Below are 22,619 nucleotides of genomic sequence, written 5' to 3'. Positions count from 1 at the left end.
GAAATTTGTATAAGTAACAAGGAGCCAAATGTTAATCCCCAAGACAATGTGAAAAATGTCTCCAGGGCATGTCAGAGATCTCCGTGGCAGCCCAACCCATCACAGACCCAGAAGCCTAGGAGGAAAAATGGTTTTGTGGGCTGGGCCCATGGTCCCCATGCTGTGTGCAGTCTAGGGACTTGGTACCTTGCATCCCAGCCATGTGGAACTGTAAGTCCAATTAAACCTCTGGTTTTTTTTTTTTTTCCCCAGTCTCGGGTGTGTCTTTAGCAGCAGCATGAAAATGGACTCATACATCCATCTAAAGTTTATTTTTGTATATGGTGAAATGAAGGGGTCCATAAAATCAGATGGTTTTAGGTGTGTGGCTCTGTTAATGTATTATCTAACCTCTTTCATTGGTCTATGTGTCTATTTTTGTACCAGTACCATGTTATTTCAGTTCCTGTAGCCTTGTAGTACAGTTTGAAGTCCAGCTGTTTGATGCCTCTAGATTCCAGCTTTGTTCTTTTTGTTTAGAGTTGCTTTGGCTATTTGGGCCCTTTTTTTGTTCCATATGAATTTTAGAATAGTTGTTTATAAGTCTGTAAAAAATGTCATTGTTACTTTGATAGGAATAACATTGAATATGTAAATTGCTTTCAGTAGTAGGGCCATTTTAACAATATTGATTATTCCTATCCATGAGCATGGAATGTTTTTACATTGGTTTGTCTCATCTCTGATTTCTTTCAGTAGTGATTTGTATTTCTCTGAAGAGACATTTCACCTCGCTGGTTAGCTGTATTCCTAGGTATTTTATTCTTTTTGCCTTTCATTCATCTCTTAGCAACTCAGCCCCATTATTATTCTTCTTTTTCACTTTGCCATTTGGGCTTATGGTGTTCCTCATTCTTACAATACTGCCTTTTGTTGGTGGTGTTGTTTTGCTCTTGCCTTCTGTGTGTGCATGCATATATATGTATTTAAACAATCCAATATCTAGTCTTCCTAGAGGTGTGAGTCAGAAGTTTCCCTAAACCATATGTCTCTTTTTACACCTCCAAGACCATATTCTCTGCATGATAAATTGAGTCATGGACCTAAACAAGGGGAAACAAAACAGGGCCTCAGTTATTAGAATAGACCAGATGATTATCAGAAATAGGGGAAAGTACCAAATTCCTGAAACTTGACTATGAGATCAGAAAATGATCTGCAACATTGCTGACCTTTGCAGAGAGATGGGACTATTACTTTCAAGCTTTGGCTTGTATAAGAAATACACTCTCGTGATAATGGCATTAATCCATTAATGAGGGCAGAGGCCTCATGGCTCAATCATCTCATTAGGCCACACCTCCCAAGACTGTTGCATTGAGGACTCAGTTGGCAACATACTGTTTTTGGAGGAAGCAATCAAACCATAGCATGCACCAAATAGAATGCTCATTGAGCGCTATAAAGGTATAAACAAAGAACATTGCTTCAGAAATACAATGGTTTAGCAGAGGAGGGAAACTAAACTGAGTCTGAAGGATAGTTGTGAGGGGTGGGTGATGATTCCCAAATCTAGGCCTTGAATACTGCCTTGCATTTTAACAAAGAAGCAGACAGCTTTCAAAACAGGAACAAAATCAAGTATGAGAGAATTGGGTATGTCCAAGGAAAAACAAGAATTTCAGGTGATTTATCTTCTGATCTGTGGACATTTGGAGTGAGGAAAATGAGTGTAGTCACAGACTGCATCAGGAATTCAGAGGGTCTGGAGTATTATGTTAAGGAGTGTGCACTGAATTTAGATGACAAATAGAACAACATAGAATAAAAATGAGGTTTGTTTTGTTTATTGGTTTGTTGCAAAGAAAATAAAGCCCAGCAAGTTTAAATGATATACTAAATTCATCTAGCAAATTAGTAGCAGAAAAGTTAAAAATTTGCTAGTGAGTTTTATTATGATGATACCTGTATAAATCTATTTTCACTCTGCTAATAAAGACATATGCAAGACTGGGTAATTTATAAAGAAATAGAGGTTTAATGGACTCACAGTTCCACATGGCTAGGGAGGCCTTACAATCATGGCAGAAGATGAAGGAGGAGCAAAGGCATGTCTTACGTGGTGGCAGGCAAGAGAGAAGTGCTGAGGAAAAGGTAGAAAAGCTCCTTATAAAACCATCAGATCTCACAGGATCTCACTCACTATCATGACAACTGCAGCATGGGAGTAACCGTCCCCATGATTCAATTATGTCCCACTGGATCCCTTCCAGGACACATGGGGATTATAGGAACTGCAATTTAAGATGAGAGTTGGGTGGGGACACAGCCAAGCCATATTAATCCACCGCTGGCCCCTCCCAAATCTCATGTCCTCACATTTCAAAACACAATAATGCTTTCCCAAAAGTCCCCCAAAGTCTTAACTCATTTCAGCATTAACTCAAAAGTTCAAGTGCAAGGTCTCACCTGAGACAAGGCAAGTCCCTTCCACGTATGAGCCTGTAAAATCAAAAGCAAGGTAGTTACTTCCCAAATACAATGGAGGTATAGGAATTAGGTAAATACACCCATTCTAAATGGGAGAAACTGGCCAAAACAAAGGGGCTACAGGCCCCATGCAAGTCCAAAATCCAATAGGACAGTCATTAAACCTTAAAGTTCCAAAACGATCTCCTTTGACTCCATGTCTCAAATCCTGGTCATGCTGATGCAAGAAGTGGGCGTCCCACAGCCTTGGTCAGCTCCGCCCCAATGGCTTTGTGGGCTAAAGCTCCCCTCCTGGCTGCTTTCATGGGCTGGCATTGAGTGTCTGAGGCTTTTCTAGGTGCATGGTGCAAGCTGTTGGCTGACCTACTATAATGGGGTCTGGAGGACAGTAGTCCTCTTCTCACAGCTCCATTAGATAATGCCCTAGTGGGGACTCTGTGTCGGGGCTCCAACTCCACATTTCCCTTCCACACTGCCCTAGCAGAGGTTCTCCATAAGGATTCCACCCCTGCAGCAAACTTCTGCCTGAACATCCAGACGTTTCCATACATCCCCTGAAATCTAGGCATAGGTTCCCAAGCCTCAATTCTTGGTTTCTGTGCACCTATAGGCTCAACACCATGTGGAAGCTGCCAAGGGTTGGGTCTTGCACCTTCTGAAGCCATGGCCCGAGCTATACATTGGCCCCTTTCAGTCATGGCTGGAGCTGCTGGGATGCAGGGAGCCAAGTCCCTAGGCTAAACACAGTAGGGGGGCCCTGAACCTGGCATAGGAAACCATTTTTTCCTCTTAGGCTTCCAGGTTTTGATGGGAGGGGCTGCCATGAAGCATTCTGACATGGCCTGTAGACATTTCCCCATTGTCTTGGTGATTAACATTCAATTCCTTGTTACTTCTGCAAATTTCTGCAGCAGGCTTGAATTTATCCCCAGAAAATGGGTTTTTCTTTTCTTTCACATCATCAGGCTGCAAATTTTCCAAATTTTGTGCCCTGCTTCCTCTTGAATGCTTTGCCACTTAGAAATTTCTTCCCCCAGATACCCTAAATCATCTCTCTCAAGATCAAAGTTCCACAGATCTCTAGGGCAAGGACAAAATACCGCCAGTCCCTTTGCATAGCAAGAGTGAACATTGCTCCAGTTCCCAAAAAGTTACTCATCTCCATCTGAGACCACCTCAGCCTGGACTTTATTGTCTATATCACTATCAGCATTATGGTCAAAGCCATTCAACAAGTCTCTAGAAAGTTCCAAACTTCCCCACATCTTCCTGTTTTCTGAGTCACCCAAGTCTCTAGAAAGATCCAGACTTCCCACATTTTCCTTTCTTCTTCTGAGCCCTCCAAAGTGCTCCAACTTCTGCCTCTTACCCAGTTCCAAAGTCGTTTTCACATTTCTGGGTATCTTTACAGCAGCACCCAACTCTACCAGTACCAACTTACTGTATTACTCTGTTCTCACGCTGCTAATACCTGAGACTGAGTACTCTATAAAGAAGTAGATGTTTAATGGGCTCACAGTTCCACATGGCTGGGGAGCCCTCACAATCATGGTGGAAGGCAAAGGAAGAGCAAAGACACGTCTTACATGGCAGCAGTCAAGAGACAAGTGCTGAGCAAAAGAGGGAAAAGCCCTTTATAAAACCACTAGATCTCATGAGAACTTACTTGCTGTCATGAGAACAGCAGCATGGGGATATCTATCCCCATGATTCAATTACAACCCACCAGGTCCCTCCTAGGACACATGGGGATTATGGGAACCATAATTCAAGATGAGAGTTGGGTGGGGACACAGTCAAACCATGTTAATACCTTAGATAAAAACTGAGAAATTATTATATATTTGGAAGAACAGGTGAAGATGGGAATGCAGATTCAATAAGAGAAAAATTAAGCAGCTTCTTCCCATGGAGAAAAGTTCTATAAATTTATAATTCATGTAAACTTAAGACATTTGCTAATAATGAATTAAATGAGTTAATAAGAAGAATTTTCTCAGAGTACTTAAGATGGCAAATCTTAGAGTTAGACTTTTTGAGTTTGATTCTTGGCTCCATCAATTACTGTGTGATTTTTAAGCATGTGGCTCAGTTTTATATGTCTCTTTCATCATCAGTAAAATTGAGCTAATAAAATCTACTCATGTTGCTGTGGTGAGGATCCACAGGACATAAGTTATGCAAGTACTTAGTAGTACCTGGCTTGATTAATGTTGGCTTTAATGTTGACTACATTTCTTGTTATTTTGTCTCTGGTTCTATTGTCACTTAAAATCCTGAGACTATCACCTTTCTTCTCCCTAGGTTCAGCCTTGCTCTTCCCAATTCGGTCTCTCAAACTATAGCCAGTGAATTTTCTAAAGCTCAGATTTGACCATGTCGCATTTGCCACAACCTCAAGACAAAGTCCGTATTTCTTATGTGACCTGGTCTCTGATGATCTTTCCTGATCATTTGCTATCATTCTCTGCCTAACATTTTAAGATACAGTCGTCTTGAACTCCAGGCCATTTGATTTCTGGCCTCTAGGTTTCTACAGATGTAGTTCTTTGGTATTTTCTCTACCTGGCTAGTCCCTTCCCATCTTTTACCTCTTGGTTTAATCATTGCTTTCACTGAGTTGCCTGATGTTTTAAGAGGGACCTAGCTGCCCTTCCGAGGGGGCCCCAGGGCACTCCTTTCTTATCTCCATCATAACCCTTAGCACACAAGATTGAAATTTCCTGCTTATAGATCTGGATTGTCTACTATATATTCCTTGGGGACAAGGACTACGTTTCATCCACTTCTAGCCTCTGCAGCCAGCACAGCAGCTAACAAAGCCTCTTTCTGGAAAGGGAATGACTATTGGCTAGAGAGGAACATGAGAATAATCTTGGCATTGGTAGAAATCTATATCTTGATCTGAATTGTGGTTACACAAAAGTATAAATGTGTAAAACTTCATCGAGCTGAACTTTTAAAATTGTTTCACATTCTTAATTTAGCTGAAAATATTTGAGTTCTCAACTTTCAAAATGAAAAAAAGTGCCAAAAAGCAAAAATCTCTATGCTACTAGAAGTCAGGATAGTGGTTACCATTGTGGTTAGCTTGTGACTTGAAGGGAGCAAAAGTGGGTATCTGGAAAGTTGGCAATTTTTTTTTTTTTTTACTTAAGTCCTAGTTACCTGAGTATTTTCAGTTCGCAAAAATCCATTGAGTTGTATACTTATGATATATGCACATTTATATAGGTGTATTACATTTGAAAACTTAAAAGAGTGAAGTGAGTGAATAACATATAGATATAGATATATAGATATTATCTATATCTACATCTGTGGCATTGACCTCTTATTTATGATTAGAAAAATAAATTTATTTCTTCAAACTGTGCACCTAGTCCCACATTAGAATCAGCTAAAATAAAATTGAAAAACCTACTTTCTTTCTCTGCTATAGGATCCATTTGTATAGATGAATGTTCATAAGTACAGACTTCTATTATGTATACAAGATAATCATACCTGTATTAGTAACTTTTGCACAATAGTGCATTGCAAATCTTTTCTACAACATAACTCTTTTGGATATTATTTTTAACACATGACTTTTAAGAACAATTACCTAGAATCACTTTTGTTGTAAAGCATTTTCTCAATTATCTTCTTTCATAGATATTCTTAGAATCACAAAAATCTTAACACATTTTTCTTGCCTCAGATGAACTATTGTTTAAAACAAGACTTAAAAAGAAAAGTAATTTAGGTGCTTCTACTAAAGATGTTCTTAAAACATCCCTAATGCTTTTTAAAAAACCAGTTTCACAGACTTTGCCCAATTTCCCTATGGAGCATTTACGCATGATTTGAGTTTTATCTGGTACACCTATTATAACAGCAGGAATTCTTAATATAGGTATACATTTAATAGCCACATTGTGAACAGCATGAATAAAGGAATAACATGACCTCAAATCAAAATATTGGCACAATGCCCTGAGCACCCAAAGGCGAGGAAGGAGCCTTTGACTCCAGGTTTCATAAACGGTACTCAGCAAAATTTCAGTTGACTTATTGCAGTCAAGTCTATGTTGAAAAGCAAACTCATGGTATAAAAAGATATCAGACCACAGAGCAAAAACAAGGAGCTAGGTCTCAATACAAGCACTCTACTACACATCATGTGAATGAATAGCCAAAACTGTAGTGTTATTAAAATAAAATAATATTTATCACAAATTTTTTATATTATTACAGACTTCAAATGACAATATGGCAATTTATCTAAATTTTAAAAATGTTATTTTAAAAAATTCCCTCTATTAGATATGATTCATTTTCCAAATATATATTTTAACAACTTAGAGAGTACTAGGTTTGGAGAAAGATTTTGAGATAGCTTTCCTGTTTCCCAGAAGGTAAGATTTAGAAATACATCAGTCATGGATGTCAATTTATGATGGTTCAAATTGCCAAAGGTATTTGGTAAACTTGTGTCACTGTCAGAGATGTAAAGGTTGCTCAGCAGCTCCAATACAAATCAGTTACAACAGTGTTACACAAATGTGAGAATATGTGGGTGTGTTTATTCATGACAGTTCAATCTTCTGATGTATCAGCATTCAGTTACATAAAACGTTAACAATAGCAATCACAATAACAACATCAGTATAAGATGCCAAATACGATAAATATTTATTCACTTTCAGTATTATTCAAATTTAACAGCTCAGAGCTGTTTTGCAGCTTTGTGATACTCCACCATTCTCAGTCCTGCCTCATTGCACAAGATGGCTGCTTGTGCCCTAGTCATCCTATCCACATCCCAGGAAAAAAGAAAAGGGAATAAGAGAAGGGATATCTCAAAATCCCTTTGAGCATATTTCCTGAAAGTTACATGTAATACTTAGTTTTCATTGATCAAAATATTTTCATTTGTCCATAGTCATTGGTAGGAGGAATCCAGTCTTTGAGGAGGGCAGCAAGGTAGTCAGCTAAATTTGAGAGTTCTTATTATTTGGAAGAGAAGAAAAATTGACATTTAAAGTGGAGAGAATCTTTTTTTTTAACTTTAGAAAATATTAAAACAGATACCTTAGGCTCCTATAAACTAAAATTATAGATAATAACATAATTAACATATAAACAATCAGACTATTATTTACTATAATGCAAAAAAAGTTAAAAGTGTTAATTAAATTTTCACTTTTAAACTATTTTGTTGACATTCATAAATATAAGTGAAGAAATATTTGTATATATCAAAGAACATCCAAAACTTTTAAAAACTGTATAATTATATTCTATTAGTAGTAGGAAGAGAGGAGAGGGCTGTTTTTTTTTTTCTTTTTTAAGTGAAAAGTTAACTTAGAAATAATTTCATCCCACTCCTAAATCAGAATTAATACTCACAGTTGGGAGTTATACTGTCATATTTGAGAGCCACTGATTTGAACATACTATTTCTGGAAATGATTTCTTTTTAGTAATTACTAACAGTTTATGAAAAGATCTGCAATTTTATTTTTCCAAGTGTTCAAGTAATCTTAACTCATCAAAATGCTAAAATCTTGTATATCAAAGGCATCTAAGACTTACTCATGTAAATGGCCTGCCTGTTCTCTGACAGCTGGAACCTCTTAGTACAGCTCTGCAGCCTCAGCCCCACCCCCAGCACTGGCACTGATCTACTTTCTAAGCAGGAATTCTTAGCTCATTGTCCAACTTTAACCTCCACCCTGACCTGGCAGCCAGGTTTTCCTAGCTGAGCATCTGTACTTTACCTAGTCCCAGGGTTTTCTCATACTAGGCTCTTCAGGAATCCTTCCACAGAATACTGCTGAGTCCCCATCAAGACTGAGAATTAATCTTCCATTAATAGGAACCCACTACCTTACCAAGTAGCCTTTTATGCTGTTTGTTTGAACATCCATTCATTTACTTAGTAAATCAACATTGAAAGGTGACTACAAGGTCAGACATGATGCCAGGCCCTGGTAACAAAGATCAAAGACACAATCACCTGCCCTCTTGTGGGACAGGTAGCCGTAATTGTTAAAATGATTTAAAGACTTAGATTCACTTCCCTAAGAATTTCCATTCACTGTTCTTCATTGTTCTTAAGTCTGAATTCTAGTCACATGGAATAAATTTCATTTAGACTTTCACAGATGAGTCCTCCAATCTGGAATATTTTGAATAAGATATTCAAGCTTGTAAAACCCTGTTACTTTAACCTTAAAAGAAGTTGTTTTTAGTTTATTCACTGTCTTTTGGGATAAGTCTCACTTTGAAAATATCCTTCTTCACATGCAGGATTGAGAAATTAATACAGTACAAGAAAACTTTCTAGTATGTTTTACCTCTACTTAACAAAGCTGAGTTATTTCATCTAGAGTAGCATGTCACAATTGTTGGTCCCTCCTCCGAAAAAAAAAAAAATGCAAATATAGGACCTTTACAGTTTGCTTTTAAGCTAGTGATGATTTTAATTTCTGAAAGTTCTAGTCGCCTGAACTTCGGTGCCTTCCTTTAAGGTATCATCTGTGAAACAGTCTGCTATAGTGGGTGTTGAAATTGGATTCACATACTGTTCTTCACTTGCTATGAGAACTTGAGAAAATTAATATTCGAAACCTCAGTTATAAAATCATAAAAACAAGGGCCTTTACCCCTTAGAGTTTGTGAAGGTTACAGCCAATATATTTAAAACACATTGGCTGTCACAGTATAAGAATTTGATATATGTGAAAAACCAAAGTTAGGTGTCTTTTTAGTGATGAATGATTGATATATAGCTTAGGAATTATTCATCAAAATTAGAATTTAAGTTGGATAAAAATTATCCAATATAGTCCTGCTGTTTAATTCAATTCATTAACCACCCAATATGTGTTATGTTTTGTGTTAGGTGCTAGTGATTCAAAAATGAATTATGTATCCTAAAGTCAAGGAGCCCAAAGTCTAGTGAAGAACCTGACATGTATAGAAACGGTTACTCCACGATCACACAAATAATGCTTGACGGGGCAGTACTCCTGACCATCACATCCCATTGCATTGCAAAATACTGTGCTCCTCGCAGTGTTTCTCACAGCATTTAATGAGCATTCAACAAATATTGATTCATGAATGGATACAGGTTTCATACTCAAATATTTTAGGCAAAGAGTAATGTTGGCATTGTTCACATATGATATTTTTAGTTTTGAGCTTTGTGAATTAACTTCTTTTTATATTGCAGATTTACATGCATTTGGTATTTCTTATTTCTTGAAATTTAAATAATGGAGAAAAGGCACCATCAACACCTTCCAGAATAAATGTTTAGAAAGTTGATAAAATAAGGTTAAGTAAATATGTATTTATATAGTATTATAACAACTTTTAAAGGAAGTCGGGTTGGAAAAAATGGTTTGAAGGATATGTACCAAAATAGTTTAAAAAATAATTATCCTGGATAGTGAGATCATGAGAGATTTTGTTAATGTCCTTATACTTTAAAAATTTTTAAATACTTTTCATTGAATGTGTACATTAAAAGAGAGTTATGATAAACTCTAGCAGCAGAAAAGAAACTGGTAAGGTCCCAGGAATATGGACGATGGAAGATTAAGAAGCAACATGAGGAACCTGGGTGTGAGGGGGCCACAAGCTACAGAATAAGATTATCAGTAGAAGGTATTACAATGGTAATAAAGCATAGTTTTTCTACTTCGATAGTATCTAGATCTCTTCACATTTGGGGGCAGGTCATATCTCATTTTGTTATTGAGAAGGTCCATTGGCCAATGGGATAATTAAAGCATATTGACTGTAACCTATCTGCCCAGAATTTAGGTAAAAATATGGGAATGAATCTTGTTGCAACTTTAAAAAAATGAGTGGACTGTCCTCAAGCATAGTAATCTAAGTAATGTATCACAAAAAAATTAATTAATCTCTGAACCATGCACACACAGCTTTGATTTACCAACAAAGCAATGCATTTTCTAAACTCAAGATGTTTGTTTTTAAATACTGTGAGAGTCAGGATGGGACCAGGCTTGGTGGCTAACACCTACAATCTCAGCACTTTGGGAGGGTGAGGTGGGAGGATCTCTCTTGAGGCCAGGAATTTAAGACTAGCCTAGGCAACCTAGTGAGACCTTGTCTATACAGAAAAAAAAAAAAAAAAATTAAAATTAGCTAGGCATGGTAGTGTGCACCTGTAGTCCCAGCTACTCCAGTGGCTGAGATGGGAAGCTCACTTGAGCCAGGAGTTGGAAGCTACAGTGATCTATGATCATTTCACTGCACTCCAGCCTGAGTGACAGAGCAAGATCCTGTCTCAAAACAAGAACAACAACAGAAACATAAAAAATATAAATACAATCAGAGTCAGGATAAATACTTATAGAATTAATGAACAAATTAATCTTTTTATTGTTGCTGTTACCTTAAATCCTTTTTTTTTTTCTTTTTTTTTTTTTTTTGAGACGGAGTCTCGGCTCTGTCCCCCCGGCTGGGGTGCAGTGGCAAGATCTCGGCTCACTACAAGCTCTGCCTCCCAGGTCCACGCCATTCTCCTGCCTCAACCTCCAGAGTAGCTGGGACTACAGGCGCCTGCTACAACGCCCAGCTAATTTTTTGTATTTTTAGTGGAGACGGGGTTTCACTGCGTTAGCCAGGATGGTCTCGATCTCCTGACCTCGTGATCCGCCCGCCTCGGCCTCCCAAAGTGCTGGGATTACAGGTGTGAGCCACCGCGCCCAGCCCTTAAATCCTTTTATCTGAAATAATTTAAAGGTGACAGGTATATAAATTGGCAGAACTACATAATTTTAATTAAAAGTATTATTTGATTTCCCTTGATGAGGCAGAATGTCTTCCTCTAAATTCCCAAAATATCAAATTAATATCTTAATTGTCTAACTTCCGCATTCTCTTTTGTAGTATAGGTGTTTACTTACGCATTTTATTATAATTTCCCTACTGCTAGTTCTGTGAGTTTGTGATCTGTGCCTTATTCATCTGTATATTCCCTAAGAGCAGAGTTAAATTATTTTTTAGAACTGGTTTTATAAAAATACAGTAAGTAAAAGCATTCCCTCAAAATTCTAAGAATATTTTGTGGACTCAATCAACATTTATTAGAGTACTATAAAATATTTTTCATTTTATGAAACTAGGATTGTGGAAACCTGCATTCCAAAGCTCCACCTCACGAGTGGTCTGTGATCAACAAATATCAACCTTTTATCTATTCTCAGTATTTTCTTTGAATACAATGCTTTTTTTGAATACAATGCTTTCTTTCTTCCGTGCAATTGAATTCTGTCATCATCCCTCTGCACATTCCAGATGGGTGGAGCTAGGGAAAGCCTTCATGGAAAGGGTTTCATCTTTCTGAACATTCACCACACTGGTAAGTTCTATAGCAAAGACTTTCTTGGATTTTGTTGAGTTGTAGTTTTCTTTTTAATAATGATATGGTTAATCCATTAAAATAATAATGTTACACCAAATCTGATTTCATATTTCTTTTCCTAAAGTAGAAAATTCTCAAGTTGTTTAGTGAAGTGCTAAATGCTTTATATTGACAGACTACCGCTGTTCAGCAATCTATATTTGCAGCCTGTCAAACGAAAACAATAGTTGGATCCTCTTTGTTGTTCACGGTACTTTAAATTACAAATGATGTTGATTTTAATCGTCTTTGCTCTATTCACTCACAAAGCTGGATGCTGTACAAGTCAGCTCTCAGATTTTGTATAAAATACTTTTTATTGGGCTTAGCACTTGCCAGCACTTTACACCTTCAAAATACTTTGTAAACATTAACTAGTCAATTCTTACAAAAAAAAAAAAAAGTAAGAAGAAAACAAATCCTGATGGTAGGTGTAAATCAGGTCTAGAGAAAAGAGTTTTTCTATAGCTTAAATTTGAAGGCAAGGTATTTATTCGGCTGTTTATTTTTAAACCAATAGAGTATATTTCAGGAAATGATGATCAGTTCTTCACTTTCCATTATAACAAAGCACATAATTTCAATTTTATTAATCATACAAAATATAGAAGTATTAATATTATTAATGACCAGTAGAACGTATGCCATATGACAAAGCTCCTAAATATATTGAATGCAGCTTTGGACCCTACACAAAGAAAATGTTTTGTGACAGTTAATAAAACTCAACTTGTCTCAGAGGATTGACATGTATGGGTCACTGCTTCTTTCTGTCCTGTAAGTAGCAACAGCTTCACTGGTATAGATACAGGTAAGACTAGCTTGGTCCAAACCTAAATGAGTCCCCAAGTTCACATTAAATATATAAAAATATATAGCACAGCAGGGTCAAACTAATGTATTATTTAAAGAGAGCACTATAAATTTTGTGTCTGCTTTTCTAAGTAAAATATATCTTCTGGCTTCATTGGTTCTGCTCTTCCTCCATTCACTTTTATAAAAATTCCCTCATTTTAACCAATGCTTTCAAAAGGAAAAGTTTGTATATTCCTCTTGGAAAATAACATGCTTACTCTGATCATAAAAGAAACTCCATGATAAGCCTAAAATATTATTAATAGTAAATGTTGTATTGAGTATTGATTGGGGATTTTTCAATCATGTCATAATGAAAAGGAAAAAAATTGTAATTTTGCCATTTAAAAATTTGGAAATTGAAAACAGAAAGACAAAGGTTCATATCAAGAAAAAACTTCAAGGCTGAGGTTATGGAGGGAAACAGTTTCAATTTGATAGCTGATTGTGCTGTGACCATAACTCAGAAAGCTGTCTGTGATATATATTAAGGAAAGCCTGCACTATATTTTCAACAATTAAACAACTAGAATGCCATAAAATATACTCTTAAAAAATTTAGACAAATTAAATTTAGCAGAGTTTGAGCAAATAATGATTCACAGATCAAGAAGCACTCAGAACCAGAAGAGGTTCACAGAGCTCGACCCAGCAATGTGGGCAGGCAATATTTATAGACAGAAAAAGAAACTGACATACAGAAATAGATTGGTTATGGCTAGGTGTTTCCCTTATATGAGCCTGGTCTGAATAGTTGGCGGCCTCTGATTAGCTCAAGTGTGGCTGCTGTGATTGGCTGTGACTCAGCTATTTGTTATAAGAATATACTCTTAATTTAGGTTGCAGTTTGTTTACATCCTTAAGTTAGGTTGCAGTTTGCTTATATACTAAGTTAGGTCATAGTTTGCTATCCACAGAGACAGCTTTAGGCCAAATTTAATTTTATTTCACATTAGTCACAATTAAAAGCTATATGCCTAAAGGTTTAGATTTTAATTAGGAAACACTGCAAGTTTACTGATGTATTGAAAATAATGTTTTTACATTCCTTAAGAAATCTTTATCAAGGGAGGACAAGTTAGAGACTGAAACTTGAGATAAGTTACTGAAATTGCAAAATAAAAGCTATGGATAAACCAAAGTGATCTCACAATCTTCAGACTCCTTTCTTCTGTGTAAGCATCACAAGATTTACTTATGATAAATTAAAGGTAATATTATGCACATCCATCAGAGTTTGTGACATATTTAGGACAATTTTTTTTTTTTTTTTTTTGACAGAGTCTCGCTCTGTCTCCCAGGCTGGAGTGCTCGGAGCGCTGCAAGCTCTGCTCACTGCGCTCTGGCACCGCCTCCCGGGTTGTCGCCATTCTCCCGCCTCAGCCTCCCGAGTAGCTGGGACTACAGGCGCCCGCCCCCGCGCTCGGCTAATTTTGTTTTTGTATTTTTAGTAGAGACGGGGTTTCACCGTGTTAGCTAGGATGGTCTGGATCTCCTGACCTCGTGATCCACTCGCCGCGGCCTCCCAGAGTGCTGGGATTACAGGCGTGAGCCACCGCGCACGGCGGACATATTTAGGACAATCTTAAAAAAATGCAAAAAACAAACAAACAAACAAACAAAAAACATATACTAATGCAGTAGGATTTTTACATTGGATTTTTTATCTTGTTAATATCATCAATATTATTACCTTATCATGTTTGGGTATCACTGCAAAAACATTATTTGATTTTTAAGGTAGGGTATTTGTTTTTGCACACATAAAGAAGACTAATGTTCCAAATAGAAAAAAGAAGCTGTAATAAACTTTAATATTAAAGTTTAGGAGAGCAATATTAACATTCTGGAAACTAATCTGTTTCTATGAATTCATTATATGACATCTAAAAGTAAATTTTAGAAATCCCTTTAGACAATATTTTATGTACACATTTTAATTCCTAAATCACTATTTTAAACTTTCCCTTCAGAAATGTATCTCTTCTCAGATGCCAACTCTTTACCATGTACTCAAGAAAGAGGTTAAATAGATCGGATAATAAATCTGGAATTAAGCTGAAAACAAGCGATCACTTAGGATGTGATTTCTGCAGCCCCAAGAAAGACCTCTGACTAAAAATAAATAAATAAAAATACCCTTTCCCTGGTCTCAAATGCCTCAATTTCTACAACTTCGGATTTCTAGGTTGACTATTTTGTTAAGCTGTGAAATTCTGGAGCCACCAAACAATGTTATTTACTTGACAGATTCTGCCTAGTAATTGTCTAAGATACAGATGAAAATTGATCACTAATGAAGACCGTTAACTCAAAACCTGGCCATATCTCGTATAACAAGGTATGGCACAGTTTCTATTTTATAGCTTCCACATATACCTTGATGGGAGATTGTCATTGACATAATAAAATGTGAAACAGCAGGAAAATATTATAAGCCAAAGAGGTAGCCTATTTTAACAACCCGCTGTCAGGAAAATTTTCCGCACATCAGACCTAAATCTCTCCATCAACAGCTAAGTACATTTAAGGGCATTCTCAGTTGTGCTTTTGGCTGATTTCCTCTTTTTCTTATGGTTAGGACTTTATATTTTCAAAGAGCTTTTCAACCACATTTACTAGTGTTTCTTCACAAATATGCCTGCAGTTTAATACCTTTTTCCACTATTTTACAAATCCTGACGTTGGAGCACAGAGATATTAAGAAGTATGTTCAAGGTTACACAGCAAGTTAAAAGCCCAGCAGGGAATAGGTTACACAGCACCTGAGTTTTCAGACTGCTGTTTAGCCAACTGGGCCACTCTCACAGGATGCTCATGACACAATGAATGCAGAAAGAGAGAAAAAAAAACTTGAACTAGAAAATGAAATTATGAAAACAGAAAATGTATTATTATTAAAATCATAATTTCTTTTTCCACAGATATAAATAAACCATGATGCAATGCTTATCATGCAGCCTCTGGGTAGACTTGCAGACTGATTAATCTACCCTTGTCTGTCTTCATACTCTTTTACCCATTTTTATCAGGGCATAAAATAAGTTAGGAAGTAGGTCCTATATCTGATGGCCAAAATGAGGCATGTTCTATTGCCTCATTTTTGGGTCTCATAAATATGGAATTTTTTCAGGGGTATGTCTGAGCTCTTCTGCTCAACCTCCTGCCAGCTCTGTATTTCCCAGTCTTCATGATGGGTATCAAGAAAAGGGAAAATAAGAAAGACTTGGCATTTGAGTTTTGAAGGTTAGAGCTACATATTTGATGATCAAGAGCTCTCAAACTGCACCTGGATACTAATTCTGAATGGAAACTTACAATTGTAAGGTAAGAAATATGACGAAGTGGTGAAACAGCAGAAACCTCAATAACTCCCACATAAAGATGTTTCTATACTTAAATCTAATCGGAGAGGACTCATAATTCCTAAGATTCCTCAGTCAAGAGGCATTCTTGAATGCCCTTAATGTGTCAAGATCTGAGGTAGGTGGTAGGGAACAGCCACAAAAAAAGTTCTATTCAAGAGCAATAACATAATTCTGTTTGAAGTGTCAGAAGAGTCTTCACAGAAGAAACGATATTTGAAGCTGAGACTTGAAGGACACATAAGAGTTAGCCAGATTGAAGAGGATAGGGAGAAGAGTTTTCAGGCTTTGGGGATCAGTACATGCAAAGGAACAAAGGCTAAAAGGGGCATAGGACCCTGAAGTTATCATAAAAGGCCAATAAAGCTACAGGAAGAGACAAAAAGATGACAAGTGAACTTTGAGGGGTAAGCAGGGAACAGGACATGACAGTCCTATAGGTAATGATGAGTATTTTTTTTTTCACTTTATTCTTATGCCACAGAAAGCCCTAATACATTTTAAGAGGGAAATAATACGATTATATTTAAAATTTTTAAAAAATCACTCAGGTTTCTGCATGTATTATCTGTTTTTCATGTTCTTTTCATTTCCATTTGCAGGTGGACAAATCCTTTTTGTGTGAGGAAGATGTGGCTGTTGGGAGAGTCAAGTAATTGAATGACGTGAATTTCCTGGAGTTTCCATAAGTTCCTGTAAATTTAGCCTCCAACTGAAATAAACCAACTGGTACTCTTGTGAAATTCAAAATTGTGCTATCATCAGCTAAGCTGAATGAAAAGAAATTACACATGAAAGTCATAGGCAGCCCTTTTTAAAATTGTATCTTTTATAGAAACATCATTATATGGAACAATTGGAAGAAGCAAATTTATTTAAATGTGCATTTTTAAGGCATTTCAACAAAAGCATAACTAGCAGAAGTACAAAAAATTCTGAATCAGTTAAAAGACTATCCTCAGAATATGCGATTAAAATCCACATACAAGCCATGAAATAAAATTCAGAAGTATGAACTATAGCATAACATACAACTGATATTCCAACCCATTAAAATAATATCTAAGACTAATAAAATACTACTTTAAACAACTTATCAAAGTCATCCATTCTTTTGTAGCATGCCTTTATAGTTGCATCATAGTCATCAAATATAAGTAACATTAAACATTTAATTACAAGTAACTCGTAACTCTTTCAGCCCAGTGCATATGCCCAGCTTTTTATTTAAATTTGTATTTAGTTTCACTTAACCTTTTAACCTTTTGAATTAATAGCAAATATGTCAAGGCATTAATAACTTTTTTTTTTTTTTGAGATGGAGTCTTGCTCTGTCACCCAGGCTGGAGTGCAGTGGCACAATCTTGGCTCACTGCAACCTCCACCTCTGGGTTCAAGTGATTCTCTTGTCTCAGCCTCCCAAGTAGCTGGGACTATAGGCGTGTGTCACCATGCCTGGCTAATTTTTGTATTTTTAGTAGAGATGGGGTTTCACCATATTGGCCAGACTCGTCTCCGCCTCCCAAAGTGCTGGGATTACAGGTGTGAGCCACCACACCCAGCCCTTAATAACATTTTATGTAGATTGTATTTTAACATTTACCAGGCCTAAATAAAATGTCCCTGCTTTGGAAGATATATTTTTTTAAGCATAAAATGATGAATTAGCAATTCCCTATAATAAAGTGATTCATGTTTATTACTTAAAATTTTTCATAGCAATAGAAATTCAAGCAAAACTATCACAATAATCTATTTTAAAAGTCACTTAACAACAATATAAGGATCAGAATTGACTTTTGATGCCTAGCTCCTTGTATTGATTTCCTCAATTATTCTGAACAAGAACAGCCATTAATCAGAAAAGTCTGAAGAACGTTAAGGTCTAGTTTTTCAGACTACTAGAATATTCTAAAATTCCGAAAAAGAAAGAACAAAGATTCTAATTTCAGAGGCTTTTAAAATGCCTAATTTCAGTAGGTCTCAATTGTAAAGATTCCATTTTAACAGCATGGGTAAACTAAAATACGTTTTGCTAGCACCTACTGATGCAGATGTGCAACTGAAGTAAAAGAATATACTTTGAAAAGTGTAAAATGCCATGTAAATAAAAAGTATTATAAATCACATTTCATAAACTCAGTTGATCAAGAAATGTAATTATAGTTTTCTATAAAATAATTTTATTTGGAGTCCAGATTCCTCCCTGTGGTAGAACTTAATCTAGGCAATTCACCACCATCTCCCCATTCTTCTATTTCCTACTTCTGGGATGTGTTCACAGATCAAAAGAATGAGCGCGCAGTGTAAAGGTGTACTTTGCCAGGATCGTTAGGTATGCCCTGAGCATCTACCGAGATGCCTCTGGTCACATAGTGCCTTCAATCTTAGTTCATGCACATTATTCTAAATCATCTGTCTTTCCAAACCATCAAGTCAAGCCCAGCTTTTCCTAATATATTAGTATCCTTCTGTGGTCCATAGGACTATTCTTTGACAAGCACCACTAAAGTCTGTGGAGCCAAGTTTCTGTCTATTCCTCTGCCACTTGTGTGCATCTTCCACCCCTCCCAGGCTATCACAGGTGCCCAGAAACTCTGCCAAGTTTTTCTAAGACCTTCTCTACTCGGGGCTTGTTTCCTGATGCCATGTTGCTACCTCCCTGAGCATTACCCTGAAATGAGGAAAAAATAAAGTCCTGGGACCACTTGTACATGCACCCTACTTAGAATTTCTGTCTCCATTCCTCCGGCTCAGGCTGGGAGATGTAGTGTGAGGCCCTTCTTCTCAGATACCCACCACTGTCTAAACTCTACTATATTTGTCTTGATACCCTCTTACCATGTTGTTATGGAATCTCCTTTAGCCTCAGGGAAAGAAAACCTTGTTCTTATAATAGGTAAGAACTTTAATCTGCCAAATCTATATTATCAAAAAATCCTCTACTTATTAACCTCATTCAACTCAGCAATTCAGGCATAATTGCAATCATTTTAGGCTTCTTTACCCAGGATTGCATTAGATTTCAAGAGGCTGTGCCAGGGCAGGGAGGACAACCATCTCAACAGAGACTTCAGCTACATTTAACTCCAGTAGGTCCACAAACATCAGTCCATGTAGGTACAATTAAACCAGCCATTTTCCAACTGCAGGGCTTCTTCAGACACTCCTGTCCATTCATTTACTTATATGACTTGGCCAGAGACACAGGGGCTCATTCTGTTATTTAGGGCCCATACTGAAGCATGAAACTTCTGCACTCCATCTGTTTATCCCTGACCAAACATGTCTTACAGCCTTCTCTGGGTCCTGACATTGTCTGTGCTTTATGCGGAAAGGGAAGGACGAGTCATCTGTGTCCCCAAATTGCCCCAAAACATTATTGCTTCACCCAGGCCCATTCCTGGCAAGCAATGGCTCCCAACATCTTTTCCTTAGGAATCCATCCTATCTACTTATGTATTATTTTGTGGCACAATTATTCTTCTTCTTGGAGTATAGGACGTAAAAAGGAGCCATAACACTTGGCTATCAATTTGAATTGGCTACTTGAATGTGAAAATTCAGAATTAATGTGCTTTGTTTTCTCTGCTTTCTGTGGTCTTATCCCTTTTCTGAAACAAGGAAGGTGAATGCTGAGCTTCTGAATGAAGAAAGTTTCCGTAGGAGAAGGAAACTGTTAAAAATAAGTTACAGATAACAATTCAAAATATCATGCTATTGCATCATTATTCTCCTCTTTACTCTATGTGGGTTTTAGTTACTCCACTCAGAAACATAAAATTTATTTTGTATTCAAATTGATTAGTCCTTTTATTTTCTTTATGATTTTTACCTTTGGAATTTTTCATGGGATCAGTAACCTGGTTTACAGAAAACAGTATTAAATAGGTTGAGGAAAGCTAGGCTACATTAAGTAAACTGTCTTCCTTTTAGTTCTTTAATATTAAGGAATAAAAATGCATGGCACACACAATAAAGACCACACTAAGTAGATGATAAATATGAAGATTTGTATAAATTATAAGGTTTTATATAAATATTATATTATTATAATCTGAGCTCCTAGGAAATATATATCCTCAGTGATCTAAATGGTATTATCATTGTCAGTAGAAAAGGGAGAGGAAACATTTACCAGTTTGGATAAAATGGAAAAAAAAATATATATATATATAGAAAACTGCATCTTTTTGTTCCAAACACAAACCATCCACAAACACATCAAAAGTGTTCTGATTCCCTACCTGTGCAATAGAATATATAAGAAAATGTAATGTTCCCAGTAATTCAGCGTATAACAAAAGCTATATGTTATTTATCTTTAGCTACCGTTGTTCTTTCAACTTGGTCATAAAATATATAGATCTAGCCATTAGTATATTGTGATTTCTCTGTCTTGACATTGTTATCTTGTATGCAAAATATTCTCATATTGAATGTTATTCCAATGGTATGTTTTTAACATTTGAAAAAGTACAGGACAATGACAGGAAAGCTGGAGTCAAAAATCCCTGAGCAAACAAGGATGTTCACCTACATCTCCAACACTGAATTGAAATTGCAGGCTTGACTAATCATTTGCTATTCCAGTCTTGAGTCTTCCTAATTATAATGATAAAGATAAAGTTAAAAAGCACCTGAAGCACACATAGCAGGACTTTAATTCCAAGACTGCCCTGCTTTTTTTTTTTTTTTAATAGCTTTATAAGTTCAGTGTGCACTTAGCTTTCCATAAGAATCACTTATCTACTAGTTAATTTCCAATCCTCAAGAAATGCAGAGAAATTGGGATGGCCTTAGCATAAATTCTCCTCTTTCACAAGACATAACTAGAAAAAACCCATAGGACAATTGTGGTTTTTGAAATAAAAGTAGTCAAATTACACTGATATATAAAGAAATGGCAATTTATGTTTGATGAGGTATACATCTTTATAGAATGGATTGAAAACGATCAATATTAATGTGATCTAGATTACATGAAACTCCAAATTTATTGTGTAATTACATACTTAAATATCATACCAACACTTTGTTTTGTTCATTTTTAAGGTTATCGTATTTTTATAGAAAAAAAAACTTAAATTTCCTCTTTCTTCCAGAATGTAAGACATCAGACCCTAAAGAACCAAAGTTGTTATTTCTGTGGAAGACCAGCCAACCTATTCTCACAGCTGAAACAATGGATCTGGCCTGCAGAGTGTTAAGGCATTCTCCAAGTTTCAAAACAAGAGTACACCATTTTGAAGGCCTATAAATAGAAAGAATTTTTCAAATATTAATTCAGTAATGACCTCTGTCTTTGGAAAAGATAATTGCAATGTGTTACTGCGAACCAATTTAAACCTGTATTTCTCATTGCATTTAATATTTAATTTTGTTTTTTATCATTATATATCAACAGTTCTTTCTGGAGCAAAGCAATCCTATTTGACTTTTTTTTTTTTTAACCTTATAGTGCACACACACATGTATGTGTAGGGTTATTTAAACAAGGAAACATTTACATCAAAATGTGCAAAGAGTTATCCTGGAATAGAAATGCTGAAAATATATTTTCAAGAAGTTTTAAAATTCTAGGCTGGCCTCAATGTATTCAGTAGCATGCCAGAAACAGAAAAAAAAATTTAATCTCTCCATTTGCTTATTCCTATTAACATATATAGAAAAAAAACTTGCTCTAAACCTAATGCCTATGCGATATGTTTGTTTCCTGATGCTGATGATAAATCATAACCGGGCACTTGGTTATATTTTTTAATGTTCTACATTTCTAGCACTGCTACTGTATTCACAATGAGCTTTATATCTGACAGTAATTTTATTTTCAGGTTCAGTCATATGATGCCTTTCTATAGGAATAGGTTCTATCACAGGAACAAATTATTCAAATCTAGTTTAACGGACTCAGCAATTCTCCTCAGTTTTATCTTGGGCATTTTGTATTCCTTTGCCTAAACCTAGTGGCTATGTAACAATTCAATTACCAAAGTCCTTCATCCAGAAAGTGCTGTTGATTTCCAGTAATTCTTATTCTGTTTGATTTCTTTTTTTTTTCCTCCTAGTTTAACACATGCCAGTTGGTGTCGACTGAGTTAAAAATCTTGAAATAAGCCTGGCACTGTGTCAGTACATAGGTTAAAAAATGAAACAAAAAAATTTAATAAAATATACGCTAGAAATGGAAAATAAGATTAGCAGTGGCATTTCTTGTCATAAGGACATTTTCTGTCTATGCACACAAAATAAAACCAGCTCAGTGTAGCTGAAGAAGAGAGGAAAGAGAGAGGTGGTATAAATTGAAAGACGAAAAGGCAGAGACTGAGTGTACAGAAGCGCGTTGAGAGCATGCAGTCAGCTGGCAAGAAAAGGCAACTCGAAGAGCCTCAGAAGGTAAAACCTCAGTTGGCAGATAAAGTGGGTAAGAAGCAAGTTTTGAAATAAAATAGCAATAGCATAAGCAACTTGAAGGAAGATGAAAAGAGCAAGGTGATAAA

At 36.2% G+C, this 22,619-nt stretch overlaps 2 long non-coding RNA genes across 2 annotated transcripts in view; one reads left to right on the top strand and one right to left on the bottom strand.

The window, feature by feature from the left end:
- The window catches only part of LOC105379107 (uncharacterized), a 339,090-nt gene that overhangs the window by 43,133 nt on the left and 273,338 nt on the right, over positions 1 to 22,619 (bottom strand). The window lies entirely within an intron of this gene.
- On the top strand, positions 11,792 to 22,311 carry LOC101930276 (uncharacterized). The gene is made up of 3 exons (XR_427752.4): positions 11,792 to 11,857; positions 16,722 to 16,848; positions 21,225 to 22,311. It is a non-coding gene; the product is annotated as an uncharacterized LOC101930276 (long non-coding RNA).

The sequence above is a fragment of the Homo sapiens genome, chromosome 5, assembly GCF_000001405.40.
Source record: "Homo sapiens chromosome 5, GRCh38.p14 Primary Assembly".
Classification (NCBI taxonomy): Eukaryota; Metazoa; Chordata; class Mammalia; order Primates; family Hominidae; genus Homo; species Homo sapiens.
The sequence above is the reverse complement of the archived record's forward strand: the minus strand, read 5'-3'. Positions and strand labels throughout refer to the sequence as shown.